Source organism: Homo sapiens, chromosome 9 (genome assembly GCF_000001405.40).
Source record: "Homo sapiens chromosome 9, GRCh38.p14 Primary Assembly".
NCBI lineage: Eukaryota > Metazoa > Chordata > Mammalia > Primates > Hominidae > Homo > Homo sapiens.
The window spans coordinates 115191569-115206118 of record NC_000009.12 but is presented as its reverse complement, the minus strand read 5'-3'; the positions used below and the strand labels follow the sequence as shown (position 1 = coordinate 115206118).

At 39.8% G+C, this 14550-nt stretch overlaps 1 long non-coding RNA gene across 1 annotated transcript in view, besides 2 other annotated features; it reads right to left on the bottom strand.

Moving 5' to 3' along the window:
- Positions 1-14550, bottom strand: part of DELEC1 (deleted in esophageal cancer 1) — a 260827-nt gene that overhangs the window by 196526 nt on the left and 49751 nt on the right. The gene's annotated exons all lie outside the window — the stretch shown is intronic.
- Positions 11886-12405: an enhancer, noted in NCBI's record as "NANOG hESC enhancer chr9:117955993-117956512 (GRCh37/hg19 assembly coordinates)". NCBI's record gives its function as "activates a minimal SCP1, AML or CMV promoter by ChIP-STARR-seq in naive H9 embryonic stem cells {active_cell/tissue: H9 hESC(naive)}" and the evidence as "EXISTENCE:reporter gene assay evidence [ECO:0000049][PMID:30033119]".
- Positions 14274-14343: a silencer, noted in NCBI's record as "silent region_20218". NCBI's record gives its function as "represses an Ori minimal core promoter by ATAC-STARR-seq in GM12878 lymphoblastoid cells {active_cell/tissue: GM12878}" and the evidence as "EXISTENCE:reporter gene assay evidence [ECO:0000049][PMID:35858748]".

Below are 14550 nucleotides of genomic sequence, written 5' to 3'. Positions count from 1 at the left end.
TGAAGCCATGATATAGAATCAAGAGAAACTGAGTAAAATAGAGGAGTAGGGACTCTGAAGAAGAGGGGCTTTAGGAATATTAGAAGCAAAGTGAGATGGCTCAAAGCTGATGAGGACTGGGTGAGCCAACATTAGACATATGCTGGATTATTTCCTTTATAGGGCCCTGGACATACTTGTTGGGCCAGGAGAAAAATATTAAAGGGGAGGTATGGAGGTAGACATAGCCAGCTGAGCACGCTTAGTGCCCAAGAATAAATTTTTCTATCATCAAGTCCATTCTTCTGCCTCCATTTTTTAGGGATACTCAGTAAGACTGGTGTGACTTTCCCCATGTTACTTGAAAATGAACAGCTTAAGGAAGAGGGAAAAGTAAACCAAGAGCCAGAGGATGCCATATGGTGTGGTGATGATCAGGACTAACTCACAAACCAGACAACCTGGGATTAGTACCAGAGCTGAGTTTTTCATTCCCATTTTTCTTGGTTCTAAAACTCATGTTCTTATCCTAATTCCATGAATATTTAACAGACAAAACATGTTAACTCAGCTAACCAGAATGAAATGGATAGAAACTTCCTCTTACCTATCTTAGCTCTATAGAAAATCAGAATAAAAAATCTGATCTGGCTATTTGAGGACACAAGAATGATGAGCAGAGTTTTAAGTCTGTGAAGGATACAGTCCAAACCAGGTTCATATCGTGGTTCACTCTGCATATCTAAACAAGTTTACCCAACCTTGGGTATGACTCATTTGCTGAAGGAGACATATATCTACCTCTGACTCAATAGAAAAGAAGTAACTCTAAGACAGTAATTTCCTTAATTGGGCAAAGCCTAGGTCATTTGAAAGGGAAAGCATTCCCCAGCCTCATGGTTATCACCAGCCTCAGTCTCATATCTTCAGTGTCTTCCCTATATCTTTGTCCATCTTCCACAGAGTTATTAAAGTGATCTCTTTAATATGAAAATACTTACTGATAACTTGCCTCAATATCCATCCTTCAGTTCTAGCAGAAAACCACAAAGCCTGATTTTTTATATGGGCTCTTGACCATCCAGAGCAAAGACTGTATTTCCCAACCTTTAATGCAGCTGAGTGTAGACATGTAACTAAGTTCTGATGTATAAGATAAAAGCAGAAGTGTCTTGTGCAAGCTTCTGAGGACCTTCCTTAAAAGAACACTGGTACCTCTGTGTAACTCTCTTCTTATTTACCATTGTTTCCACCTTGTTGCCCTGATTATAGGTTTAGAATGTGAGTCTGAAGGTCACATACGGGGATGGTTGAAAAAATATTGAATTCCTAAACAGCCATCATATTAATCCTCGACTATGTAACGCCAGACTTTTAGATGAAAAACAAACTCCTACTGTTTTTAGGCCAGTATTAATTTAGAGTTTCACATTACTAACAATCAAATCCAATCCTAAACAATACGTCCATCATGCGTTTTTTGTTTAAAACCAATCCATGGTTTCCAATTGCCCTCAGAGAACAATTCTAACTCCCTTAGTAAAACCTATAAGGTCCTTGTAACCTGTATATTTAATATCATCTTTTTAGCTTCCCTGCTTATATTTTAACAAATTAACAATACCTAATGACCTGTATTTCCCTAAGTATTCCACAATTCCATAATTTGTTCTGTTTTCACTTCTCTAAACAGACTGTCAACTTCTGCTTTGAATTCCATCCTCACCTATTTGATAGAAAAGTGTCACCTCTTCTGACAAACCATCTCTTACCCTTTAGACAAACTGATGCACTCCTTTTACTCTATTCCAATTATACCTGATCAATCATCCATTTAACAATTGCTTCAACATAAATGAGGGGTTTGTTTGTATTTCCAACTCCACCACTACACTGTTTTCTTAATAGAATAATGTCATGCTCAACTTTGAAACCACATATACTGCCAGACACATAATAAATGCTCAATAAATTCTTTTAAGTGAATAAATAATATTAATCATGCAGCCATCTTATATTGTCAATCAGATGCCTCAGTATAACTTCGTTGATTCTTTAAACTATGTCTTTGGAACTTGTCTTGATGTGAATTCAGGCTGTGCCATCTAAAAGCTGTGTCCTTAGGCAACCCTCTTTCCATTTCTGAGTATCAGCTTCTTCTTCTTTAAAATAGAAGACCTACTTCATGGTACGTTAGGGCTATTAATGCAATTAAGTACATAGAACATCTAGGCTAACCTAATATTAACCCACAATCAATGGCATCATCATTTTTATCCTTTAGGAAAGTTCACATGGCTTAGAAAAGTCAATCCAAAACTGCCAGGATTTAAAACATAAGAGATGCAAGGACTCCACATGAAGAAGCTCAAGGGAAAGCCAGTGTCATAGGCAGCCTTACATAATGGAATGAGTACTGGCCTGGGCATTCTGATCTGTGATTAAACCCTGAGGGAATCACTAGAGTGCTATGAGATCATGAGGAAGTCACTTCTACCCCCAAACCTTAGTGCCCCCATGTGTACAGGGTTGAAAGTGTCCAGATGATATTGAACCAGTATCTATCCTAACTCTGAGCTGCACTTCCTTTGGCCCCGCTTCACCACTTTCATCTCATTAAACCACACAAATTTTGCCCTTAGATGGACTGCTCTGACCAAACTCCCCACAGCCTCTACTCACCCACTGTCCTATGGGAAGCAGGGTGAGTTCATTGCACCTTCAGATTTTAGCCTGATGATGCATGTTTGTGTAGAGTTGGTGATTGGTTTCATATGGCCAAAGGATCCGGCAGCTGGGGACATCTGTTTACACTTAGCACACAGACAAATTTTCCACAGTCAGGAGTCAGTGTGCTCCTGACCTGACTGTGGAAAGCAGGGCTCAGTCCCTCTGGGCTGTGTAAGTGGGAGCTTTAGACTTGTGCCCTGGACTCACATGTCAGGAAGAATAACCTAGATATGAAACATTTGAAGTAAGAAGCAGATCTCTGGTGTCTCTATGGATACAGATAAATTGCCTATGGAAATGGGGCACAGTTGGACAGGAAGCAACATATTACACTGATGAGGATGATTAAGGAAGATCCTAAAGGATGCTTTGTTCCCAGAAGGAAGTCCATGCTGCAGGAACATTGACCCACATAGAAAAGGATGACTGTCTCAGAAATAGCTTCAGAGTATGGCTTATGCTAATAATGGAAAGAAACTACTCATTCTGCATAATACTGCCCTATAGACCCATATTTTTGCTTCACTCCAGTAGACAACATGCATAGGTGAAGGAGCACTGGTCTTGAAATTATTGGACCCAGGTCCCACTGCCAAGTCTTTCATTCACCCTGTGTGTCCTTGGACAATTCCTGCTGCTTCTCTGAGCAACAGCTACCTTGTCCCAAAAAGAATGTCACATGGGATCATATTAGATTCTCCATGCAAATGTTTTGTCTAAAATGAAATAGTCTCCAGATGTCAGGAGCTGTTGTTACTATCCAAGGAATATCTCAAGATCATAAAGATAAAGTGAATGTATTTAATTTTTCTAACCAGAATAGAAATTATTTTGCAGATCCTCTAAGAGATGGCTGTCCATTTTCTACATCAGCATCTCATCTTCAGGGGTAGGTGGCCACAGCCTTACAGAAAAGTTAGTTCTGTTCTCCCTGGTGGTCGTAAATTCCTGTCAAAGTTCTCCTCTTTCCCTCATGGGAGAGCTGCCAGTCTGCTTTCTCTTCTCTGGAGCCAGGAGAACAAATGTGCTTCCTCTTTCACAGGAAGTACCTGCTGATATGTGGAAACTGCAATAGGAGAGAAAAGGCATAGACTTTGTCTGCCTTTAGTCCTAGGATCACATCCTGCTTTTCTACTCTGCATCTGTGTGACCCTGAGATTGTTGAGTAAACACAGTTAACCTCAGTGTTCCCAACTGTAAAGGGGGATAATAAAACAGACACAGTGTGGGGATGGTAAGGATTTAGTGAAATGAGGCATAAAGAGCCTGCGACCATGCCTAGCTAAGAGCAGATCTTCAGTAGATGATAACTACTAAGACATTGCTCTATTGTCTTTACTGACTTACTTTTGTGGTTATTACTGACATTCCTTATATTTAACAACATGGTTCGGTAAATGTTCAAATGGGCCCAAACACAGCTTGGTTTGGATCATTAGCAAACCAATACCTTGAACATTTACTAAGCTTCTTCTCTGTCTCAGGCACTACACCAGGCACCGCTGGGGATTCAAAACAGAAGTGTTCCCTTCATGAATGAGAAACAGTGTCATGCAATGGCCATGTTTCCAAAGTAATTGATATATAATAAAAATTTTCACATAGCTTGGAAATATAATGGAGACCTTTTCATGATTGAAGAGTTTTTTTTCCTTTTCTTTCAAAATTATCTGCAAGGTTTCATGTTGAGGTCATTCATTGGACCTACAAAAGGTCCATGAAAGGGATGCTTACACCTTAAGGACCAACATACAAAGAATTAAGTGGCTTCTCACACTCCAGATCATTTACTCTTGGCCTCACTCTTGTGCCATAATTATTGCAAAAAATTGCCATAGAATTCTACTCACCCCATAGGAGCCCAATGGAACTTCCATCATCTTAGTGAGACACCTTCAATTTAAATTACATACATGGTTCCTCAGAGCTACTAGCATCAAATCCAAGTTCATTATAGTGTCCCCCAGGCCTCTCATAACTCTATCCCAAATACTCTGAGTCTCTCACTCTTGGCCATTCTTTCCTTTTCTATACCTACCCCACTGCCTGACCAAACATGTAGTCTGGACTCCAGTCGTGCCAATTTACTGCAATTCCCTGAGTGAATCTTGCTCTTCCACCCCTTTGTGCCTCTGCCCAGGCTTGTACAATTCCCTCTTCCTGGAAAACCTCTTTCTTCCTTCTGTGCCTGCACAACCTCCACACATTCTTCTCTAGGATGAACATAATCATCAGCGTTTCTGAGAAACTGTTACCAGGTGCTCTAATCCAATTTGGGATCATTACCCCCAATCCCAAAACATCTAACCCTTGCCACCATCCTACACTTACCCTACTTTAAAAAACATAATTCTCTATTTCCTCATCTGTGGCTGTGCTGTGAGCTTTTTGGGAACAGAGGGCATGCCTGATTCATCTTTGTGACATTCACAGAGCTCCATAAAAGCCTCTTGGATGCATGGACAGAAGCCTGGATAGACAGATGCATGAGTAGGTTCCAGACCCATAAGCCAAGGACACGACATCTCTCTTCTTGGAATAATAATTGCATAAGACCCAATAAATCACCTAGTACTCTTTGAAATATCTTGGCCCTAGTCATCAGGAAGCCCAAAATGGTTGGAGTTAGCCTGTGAATTGCCCAATTCACTTTATACTCATTAAAACAGAAACAATCAATGATACCTTTTAATTTTTATTCATGTCTAGACATTCCAAAAACTCAACATGACAAGGGGTTCTTTTCCACTTACCTTATGCTACAATAGCTAATCCTAGCCATATTCAAAATTCTGCTCTATGTTAATTCTTTTCAAGCAACTAAAATTCTGTTAGGGAAAAAAGAAAAAAGAAGGAATATAATGCACAGAGAGAGGAATATGGCTTAATCTTCAGTCTTTTATGGGAATATAATGCAGTTTCTCAGACCCAAAGGTAACTAAACTCCAACATTCAGTCTTCCCATGACTTTTTATTGGCTGTTGCTGAACTCATCAATTTTTCCTCAATCTTTTGTGGGGGTCAGATCTTAACCATGCCTAAATACTTTTCTGTTGAAAATGTCATAATTATTTCTCCAGGTATAACTGATTTTTGGTGTGTAGACACCAAAGACTCATGTCTCAAACACACACAAACTTCTGTCTGGTTGGGTTCTCTATTTTTATGAACACCGCCTCCATGGCTCTCTAAACCCCACAAAACTTTATTAACCTGAAGCCTCCAAATCCTCTTTGTTTATACAACTTAGGCTGACCTTTTCTTGCTCTTTCTGGTCTGGGAAAGGATTTGATCAACACACACACACACACCCCACACACACACCTCAAGATAGTCATGGCATGTTTCACGCTACCCAATAAAGACAATCATGTTTTCCTGTATTTAGAAAATGCTAATTACAAAGCTATCTTAGCTGCAGACACAGAGCGCATGTCTGCCTCCACACTTGATTCCTGCCTCCACTCAAAGATATTCTCTGTTTAAAGCATCTTATCCACAAAAGCACCCTTTTACTCTACATCCCTTTTCCCTATTTTAGTTTGCTTTACATCCCTTTTCCCTATTTTAGTTTGCTTTATTGCACTTATTAAAAATCCATGAGAGTAGGAACTCTGGCAATTGTGTTTATTGTCACATCTCCTCAGCCTACAATTCCTGGCACATAGTAGCTGATAGATAATAGAGAGATAGAAAGATAGACAGATGATAGATAGATAGATAGATAGATAGATAGATAGATAGATAGATAGATAATACACAGATGTAGAAACTGAGATACAGGAAATACACATAAGACAGAGAGATACACTTAGAGATAGAGATAAATTCTTATCCGGCTTAGCTGTGCTTCAGTTCTTTTCTGTTTGTTTTGTTTTGTTTTGAGATAGAGTTCTGCTCTTGTCACCCAGGCTGGAGTGTAGTGGCGCGATCTCGGCTCACTGCAACCTCTACCTCCTGGGTTCAAGCAATTCTCCTGCCTCAGCCTCCCAAGTAACTGGGATTACAGACACCTGCCACCACTCCCGGTTAGCAGTGTGGCCTTGGAAACGAGACTTAATGCCTTTCAATGTCTCTGTTTTCTCATCTCAATTCCCCACAGCAACCCACATGGCTTTACATAACCTAGCCCCTGCTAACCTCATCAACCTCCCTCCTGTCCCTCTCCCCACCATCACCAGTCACTTTGCCCACCTCGGAGCTTGCCCTGGAACAATCTTCACATCTTCACATCTCTTTGTACCTGGAAACCCATCATCTAGAAAGAGAGCCCTTCCCTTCATATCCTGACCAAAGATCTCCACTCCCCTGAGATTGGTCTTTCGCATCACTTTGTTTTAATTTCTTATACTATAATAGCTATATCTGTTGAATATCTGTTGAATTAACAAATGTATATGAAGATGATAATAATTAATTAGAGTTGCTAAAAAGATTAAACAAAATCTTTTCAGAATTAGGGGAGCTACAAAGGTAGCATCCATTAAAAATAAATTTCTCTGCAGTGTGGCTATAATATGGTAAATGATGTACTTAAAAATGCTAACTGTTATAAATATATTATTTGTGTTGTTATCATTTGTCCATTAATGTCTCTGGTTATATTTAGCTACTTAGCACAAATAATTATCCATATTTAAAATGGAAAATATTACATTAAAATTGGAAGTCTCAAGATTTTACTATTTTGGATAAGGGAGTTTGATTGCTGTTGATAAAAGCCATTTCTCTTGATGCAGACTATATAGTTTATGAGTTGAGTAATATCCTTCTTTTAGAATTTGACCTGAATTAAATGACTTAACCCTTTACTCTGATCTATAATAAAATAAGTAATAAAATAAGGTTGCATCAGCCAAAATGTCATAGTCTGAACTAATTCGTCTATTTCAAATTGGCGGAAAAATATTACAAGGAATAAATAGACTCACCCCCACACCTTCCCTTTAAACCTTCCACTTATTAAGCATCATACCAGACAACAAAGAAGAATATCAAAAGTGGAAGCCCTCTATTAGAATGATGCCCCTGGGTCTATGTCTCTGATGTGGATTCTGCACAGCTTCTCCTCCCCGGCTGCTGGTGTATGAGCCCTGCCTCTGTTCTGGGTGACTGTCCACTGTCTCACTGTCTCAGCCCAGCTGCTTTGCTTTGCTGACTCACTGAGTCTGACACCCCGTAGAGCCGATCCATGTGCTGATCCTAGAAAGTAATGAGGAGCCTGCACAGCTGACAGGAAAGGCCCGTGCCTTTGGGTGCCAGAAAAAGAGGAAGGGCTAGAGAGGAGGTCTGAATGTCCCTCTAACTGCACCATTTAGCATTTGACAGCATCTTCCCTTCTACTAGGAGACCAGCTTTCAGAATTTTATAAGCAAGCTGTAAAAATGTATTCAAGTGTGAAACCTGAAACGAGTCCTTTATCACCAGATCTCTACCTCCCTGGAATGTAATTGGTTTCCAAATTTAAGGGAGATGGAGTGGGGGAATGGAAGGGAGGTGATCCATTTAGCCATTTAAAACTAGTAAAAGAAGAGAAAGAAGTAAAAACTGGTGATTTGTGCTTTCTTTCGTTGCAGGTGAAACATGATTTCATTTATACAGTTGAATAATCTCATCTGCAGGTGACTCACTAGCGTCCCTGGAGCCATGCTTGGTCTCCTCTTGTGCCTCAGTCTCTCTTCTGGTAAAATGAGACAATCTGATCCTTCCAGGGTTCCAGTCTTGTGTTCCAGGACCTTTAAAATATCCTAAGAAAAGACAATTACTAGCTCTAGTGGCCTGTGTTTAAATAGGACAAAGAACTTGACTGAGAAACAGAAGTATTTTTGCATCTGGAAATAGCTACCAAATTATTTCTCCAAAATGCTTTGACATGTTTGGTTTCCATGTAATCTGAATGTTTTGTCACCCAATATACATAAAAATACTACTCCACTTGAGTAGAGAACCACAAAGCTCCATGCATTCCTGTACATCAAAATATACTTTTCTTTCTTTAGTCCTGGACAAATTCAAGATGCACAAAGATTCAGAAATATTTTTTAGTAGAAATTCAAAAACATCCTACAGCCATGTAGGGAGATGGGGTTCAGGGAGTTGACTGAGAAGTGGGAGAGACTAGCATCTCTGTGGGGGCTGGAGCATTGTCAAGGCTACATTTGATATCACATGGGCATTAGAGAGAGAGAGAGAGTGAGTGTGTGTGTGTGTGTGTGTGTGTGTGTGTTCGTGTGCACATTTGTGTGTCTGCTTTCCTTTCTGAAGCTGCAAATTTAAACTCTCAGCTGTGGCAGCCTCTGGGATGCAGGGAAGACTGCTTCTGTAATCTCATTTGCCATGGCAGCTGCTTGGCGAGCTTGACATTGCTATCTTCTCAGCTTCTCAGATTCCTTAAAGATTCTCCTCTGATAACCGTGCATCAGGCCCCCAAACCACCCCAGACCCTGCCATGCCAGCCTTCCTTCAAGCTCTGATATACTATACCTGCTTGGGAGTCCCCACATGTGCAGCTAGAGTCCTCACATGTGAAGAGTCCATGGACTGGATTCTGTGCAGGCCACACAGAGTGATGGAGGACCCAGAGGACCCAGGTTCTAACCCCAGCCCTACTAATTACTAGATGAATTATCTTATTATCTTATCTAATTTCACTTCTCCAGGCTTCAACTTCCTAATCTATACATTTAAGGATGATAATCCTCAGGCAGACCTAGTCTCTTTGTTGCTACTAAAGCCCAGTGAACAGAGCAGGGTTTTGGAAACTGTGCATCTTTAAATAACCACAAGGCGTTATATTAGTAGCAATACTTCAAAAAAACTGGGGTGAGCTATTTTACAGGACTTTATTATAGGCAATCTTACTTGACACAGAGATTATGTGCTATCTTAGAATGTTTTGGAATGTGAAGAAACACATAAACTTTAGCTAATTTTCCCAAAAGGGGGAAAAGAAAACACCAACATTTTTTGGAAGACTGTAAGACAGTTTGGGGGTGTAGAGAGAGGGGGCATTTTAACATCAAATTTCACTGTGAGAAAGTTATTCCCTGCTCAATTGCGTATCAGTCACTTTGTTTAATTCAAGGATAAAGTCCCAGTTTTGTTCCAAAGACATGAGATGCCTTAGGCTCAGAGTCTTCTGCAGGCAACATTATCTAAATGGAATTTAGATTGGAGAAGATTGGGATAGCCATTATGAAAAACAGTATGGATATTTCTAAAGGGATTAAAAATAGAACTACCATATGACCCAGCAATGCAATCTTTCTCCTGGGCATATACCCAAAGGAAATGAAATCAACACCTCATAAAGATATCCGCACTTCCATGTTCATTGCAGCATTATTCACAATAGCCAAGATATGGAAACAACCTAAGTGTCCATTGATGAATGAATGGATACAAAAATGTGGTATATGTATACAAGGGAATATTATTCAGCCCAATAAAGAACAAGATCTTACCATTTACCACAACATGAATGTGTCTGGAGGACATTAAGCTTAGTGAAATAAGCCAGACATAGACAGAAAAATAAAGAAAATTATTGCATGATCTCATTTATATGTGGAATCTTTTAAAAACAATCAAATATACAGAGTTAGAGAACAAAACAGTGGTTACTGGGGCAAAGGAGGAGATAGAAAAGGAAGAAGTAGGAAAATGTAGGTCAAAGGAGAGAAAGTAACAAATATGTAGGATAAATAACTTTAGAGATTTAACGTACAACGTGGGCCTATAGGTAATAAAATTGTACTATATTGGGAATTCATGCTAAATGAGTAGATTTTAGCTGCTCTTGACACAAAAACAAAAACAAAAAAAAGATAACTGTGTAAGATGATGGATGTGTTAATTTACCTTACTGTAGTAACCTTTTTGCTATCTATATGTATTCCATAACACCATGTTGTATACCTTAAATACATGCAATAAAATTTATTTTAAAACATAAAAATAAAAAATGAGTCACAGGAAAAGGAAATTAAATTCTGAGTTATTTTTATTTTGTGGCTAGTGATGCTTATTTTTTATTTACAACATAAAACTTTTCCTCTTAAAATAAATCTATTTAAATTGAAAGAATAAACCATTTAAATGCATTGACATGCATTAATGTGTAACATTATCAATGGTAGGCCAATATAGCAATAATCATGATTTTGTATTAGTTATCTATTGCTGCATAATAAAATAATGCAAAACTTGGTTGCCTAAGCAGTGATAAATGTTTTTATCTCTCAGTTTTTGTAGGTTAGGAATTGGGGATGATTCTGGCTCAAAGTCCCTCATGAGGTTGCAGTCAAAATGTGAGCTGCAACAGCAGTCATCTGAAGGCTTGACTGGGGCTGGAGGATCTGCTTCCAAGGTGGTTCATTCACCTGTGAGTTGGTGCTGGCTGTTCCTTACCATGTGGACCTCTCCACAGTGTTGCTTAAGTGTCCTCATGACATAGCAGCTAGTGTACTTCCAGAGCAAGTGATCTGAGAGATCAAGGTGAAAATGGCAATATCTGTTATGACACATCCTGAGAAGTCACACACTCACTTCTGCAATCTCTAATTAGTTGCATAAATCACTCCTATTCCATATGGGAGGGAACTTCACAAGGAAGCAAAAACAAGGAATAAGAATCATCTCAGAGACTGGCTACCACACTGTAATACACCAATCATTGAAGTTTGAGAAATACTGATTTAATCTAAAATTATAAACCCACCAAGAGAACACCGGAGAAAGGAGGGGATGTAACCAAGTCCAGGCTAGGTTTTTAGCACACCCAAGGTAAGAATTCAGAGCTCCCTATCCACTGCACAGTATTATTCCTGCCATATCACAAAAATGCTGACACCACCTTTGGCCTTTCAAAATTTTAAGAGAAATCCAGCCCTTTCTCAGGGTAAGACTTTGCCTCCCCAGCTTCCAACAGGAAGTTGATGCTGCTGCAGCAATTTCTAGGCTTTCAGACTCTCCACCTGGGACTGGGTCCAGTGAAGTTAGTCAATTTTGAAGGCAGATGATTAATCTGGTGTCAGAGGTCATCTATTCCCAAGGTTGCAAACAGATTGTCCACAGGCAGTGATGAGCCCACAGATATGTCTCCTTTGCCCTAAGCAGGACATTTTTAGTTTTTTTCTTAATGAGTTGCTAATTATATGTGAAATTAGAATATTTCACATAAAAATCCAGATCTGGGGTTCCCTTGAAATAATCAGATGTGCTGACAATGCCTGATCTGCTTTTTTTGTACAGTAACCATCCTCTGGAGTTACATATTAGCTACACACGATTTGTTCTCCATGGTCCCTGAAACTTCTCTGCTTTCTTAAATTCCCTTATTCTTTGCAAGCCGTTGAACTGACTACTTTGACTTAATTCAACTCTCTCATTTACAAGTAAAAGGAACTGAGGCTTTGACAGTTAGTAGGCTTACATTTCTTGAATGACTTACCCAAGGCCGCGTGGCTGGTAAACAGCAGGGCAAAGACCAAGGAGGGTTTCTTTCCTACCTAAGCCAACACTCTTCCCCAAACACTTCCCTGCTTATTTTACAAATAGGCTCCAAAATAACCAGAGGATATTCTGGATAGCTCTGCTAATGTGACTCTCTTTCCCTCACTGCACTTTTAGCCTCAAGAGCCATCTCACATCAAATAGCAGAAAGGGGATATCAGGAAAGAGGAACCTGTGTAGCTCAACTCCAATTTACTACCTCAAGGAAAGAGAAAACTTAAAAGTTTACAAAAATTTGTCCATTCTAAAGGAAGGAGAGCAAGTAAAGAATAGTAGATTGAGAAAATACAAGTACAAAACCGATCAAATCCTGGAAGAAGATTGTTAACAATCCCCAAACATCATAGATTTCAGCGCATTCAACTACCAGGAATCTTTGTCTTAAATCTCCCAATTTGTCATTTATTATTACTAAAAATAATTTATTTTAAATCTTTCAAGGAAGTTCTTGCTTCCTCATTTCCTGACCTTTATGAAGTCACCATCTTGGCACACACATGAAAGGAAAGTGTTTTAACTAAATTGCATGTTAAAATGGTAGAGGAAAATGAATGAAAGATTTTGGCACAGTGAAAGCACCCTCTGAGGGATGTTCTTGAAAGCCAGGCTTAGCAGCTGCTCCGGTGATCAATAAGTAGATTCCCCAGCACTAGCTCACTGTAGCCAAGGTCTCAGGCCTGTGTCCAAATGTAAGGAACCACAGCTGCTTCAGAATGGGGAGGAGTGACTTTGCTTCTCCAGGGCCCCTGAGTTCAGATCAGCTCTTGCACTGCTAGTCTGCAAGGATCAACAAATTCAGTACGTAGAGGTGCATGTAATAACCACATGGGACCACAAGCCACCCCAGACCTGGAGAGTCTGTGTGATGCTTGAAGGGGTAGTGAAGGGAAGTCTTTGTTGCAGAACACTGAACATTCTGACTCACTTCCACTGGACCCTCTCAGTTCCACAACAGAATCCCATCACCTCTCCCTCCATTACTCCAAAAAGCTCAGAATTTTCCTGATGGAATTCATAGCTGAGCCTGAAGGACTCCTTAGTTAACTGGTGGTACAGATAGAACAGTTTGTTCCCCCATGTCACATGCAAGTCAGGACTATGTCTGGACAGCAAGGAAGAACTAAGATGAAGGAGTAAATTGCCTCTTCATTAATTTATTTATTCTGTAATATTTACTGGGTGTCTATGATATGCTAGGTGCAGTGATTAAGAATTGAATGAGCAAGACATGTTCTCTATTCACAAAAAGCTTCAGTCTATGAGGAAAGAGTGATTAAAAAGTGGTTACAAGGAAATGGGACAAGTGTTATCACATGGGAAGTGGGAGTGGAGGAAGGAAAGTCCGTGGAGTGAAGAAAAGGGAAGGAAGTGACATTAAATGGAGATGAGAAAGATCAGGAAGACTAAGTACAAACAAGACAGAGAAGTGAGAGTTTATCAGATGGAGAAAGAGCCCATGTGAAGGCCTTGTGGTTGAAGGAAGTGCAATGCATTCGGGAAACTGAAAGCAGCTTCATATAAATAGGAGCAAAGGCCCTGTGATTAAAGGTCTTCAAAGGTCTGGTAATGCATTTACACTTGTTCGAAGTTCAATTGGGATAGAATGAAATGTTATAAACAGGGAAATGATGTGCAGATATTTGGAGTTTAGGGAATACCATTAGGTTTGCCAGGTAGGAAACAAAGGAAGAAATCCAGGCAAGTGGCATTGCTCCAAACTCACAATGATAACGGATAACAGTTCCAAAGAGAACATTCAAATGCATAGCTGGCTTCAAATATGCAACATCTCTGTGGATGAGAAATAGAATAAGTAAAAGGTAAAATGGGCTGAAGCTACAGGCTTCTGGGCTCCTAGTCCACACAGGAAGAGGCATCCAGGTTTTCTACTTCTATGGGAAGAACAGAGAAAAAGTTCAGCCAACATGAAGCTGAAGCTGTAGACTGCAGTCAGGCTCCCTGCTGAGGATTAAGAGGGAGATTGAGATCCCCTGTTAATAAGCGAGACTGGAAATCCCCCGTTAATAAGAGGCTGTCTAGGGCTACAGCCACCTGACAAAAAAGGCAGTATATGCAAACCCAGCCTTGCAGTCAAAAGTCAAGCTGAACCAAGCTATATGCTCCCTTGAGTAATGGTATCAAAACAGCCTCATTATGTCCATGGAGAAGGAATCTCAAACAGTTGACATAAAACACAACTGTGGATAGCAGATCCAGGGGCCATTGGACGAAAACATCACATATGCTCTAAAGAAAGAGAAAATGTATTAGCACAAAACAACATTCCTTCAATATAAGATAATTCTACAAAACAAAATTACGAAATAT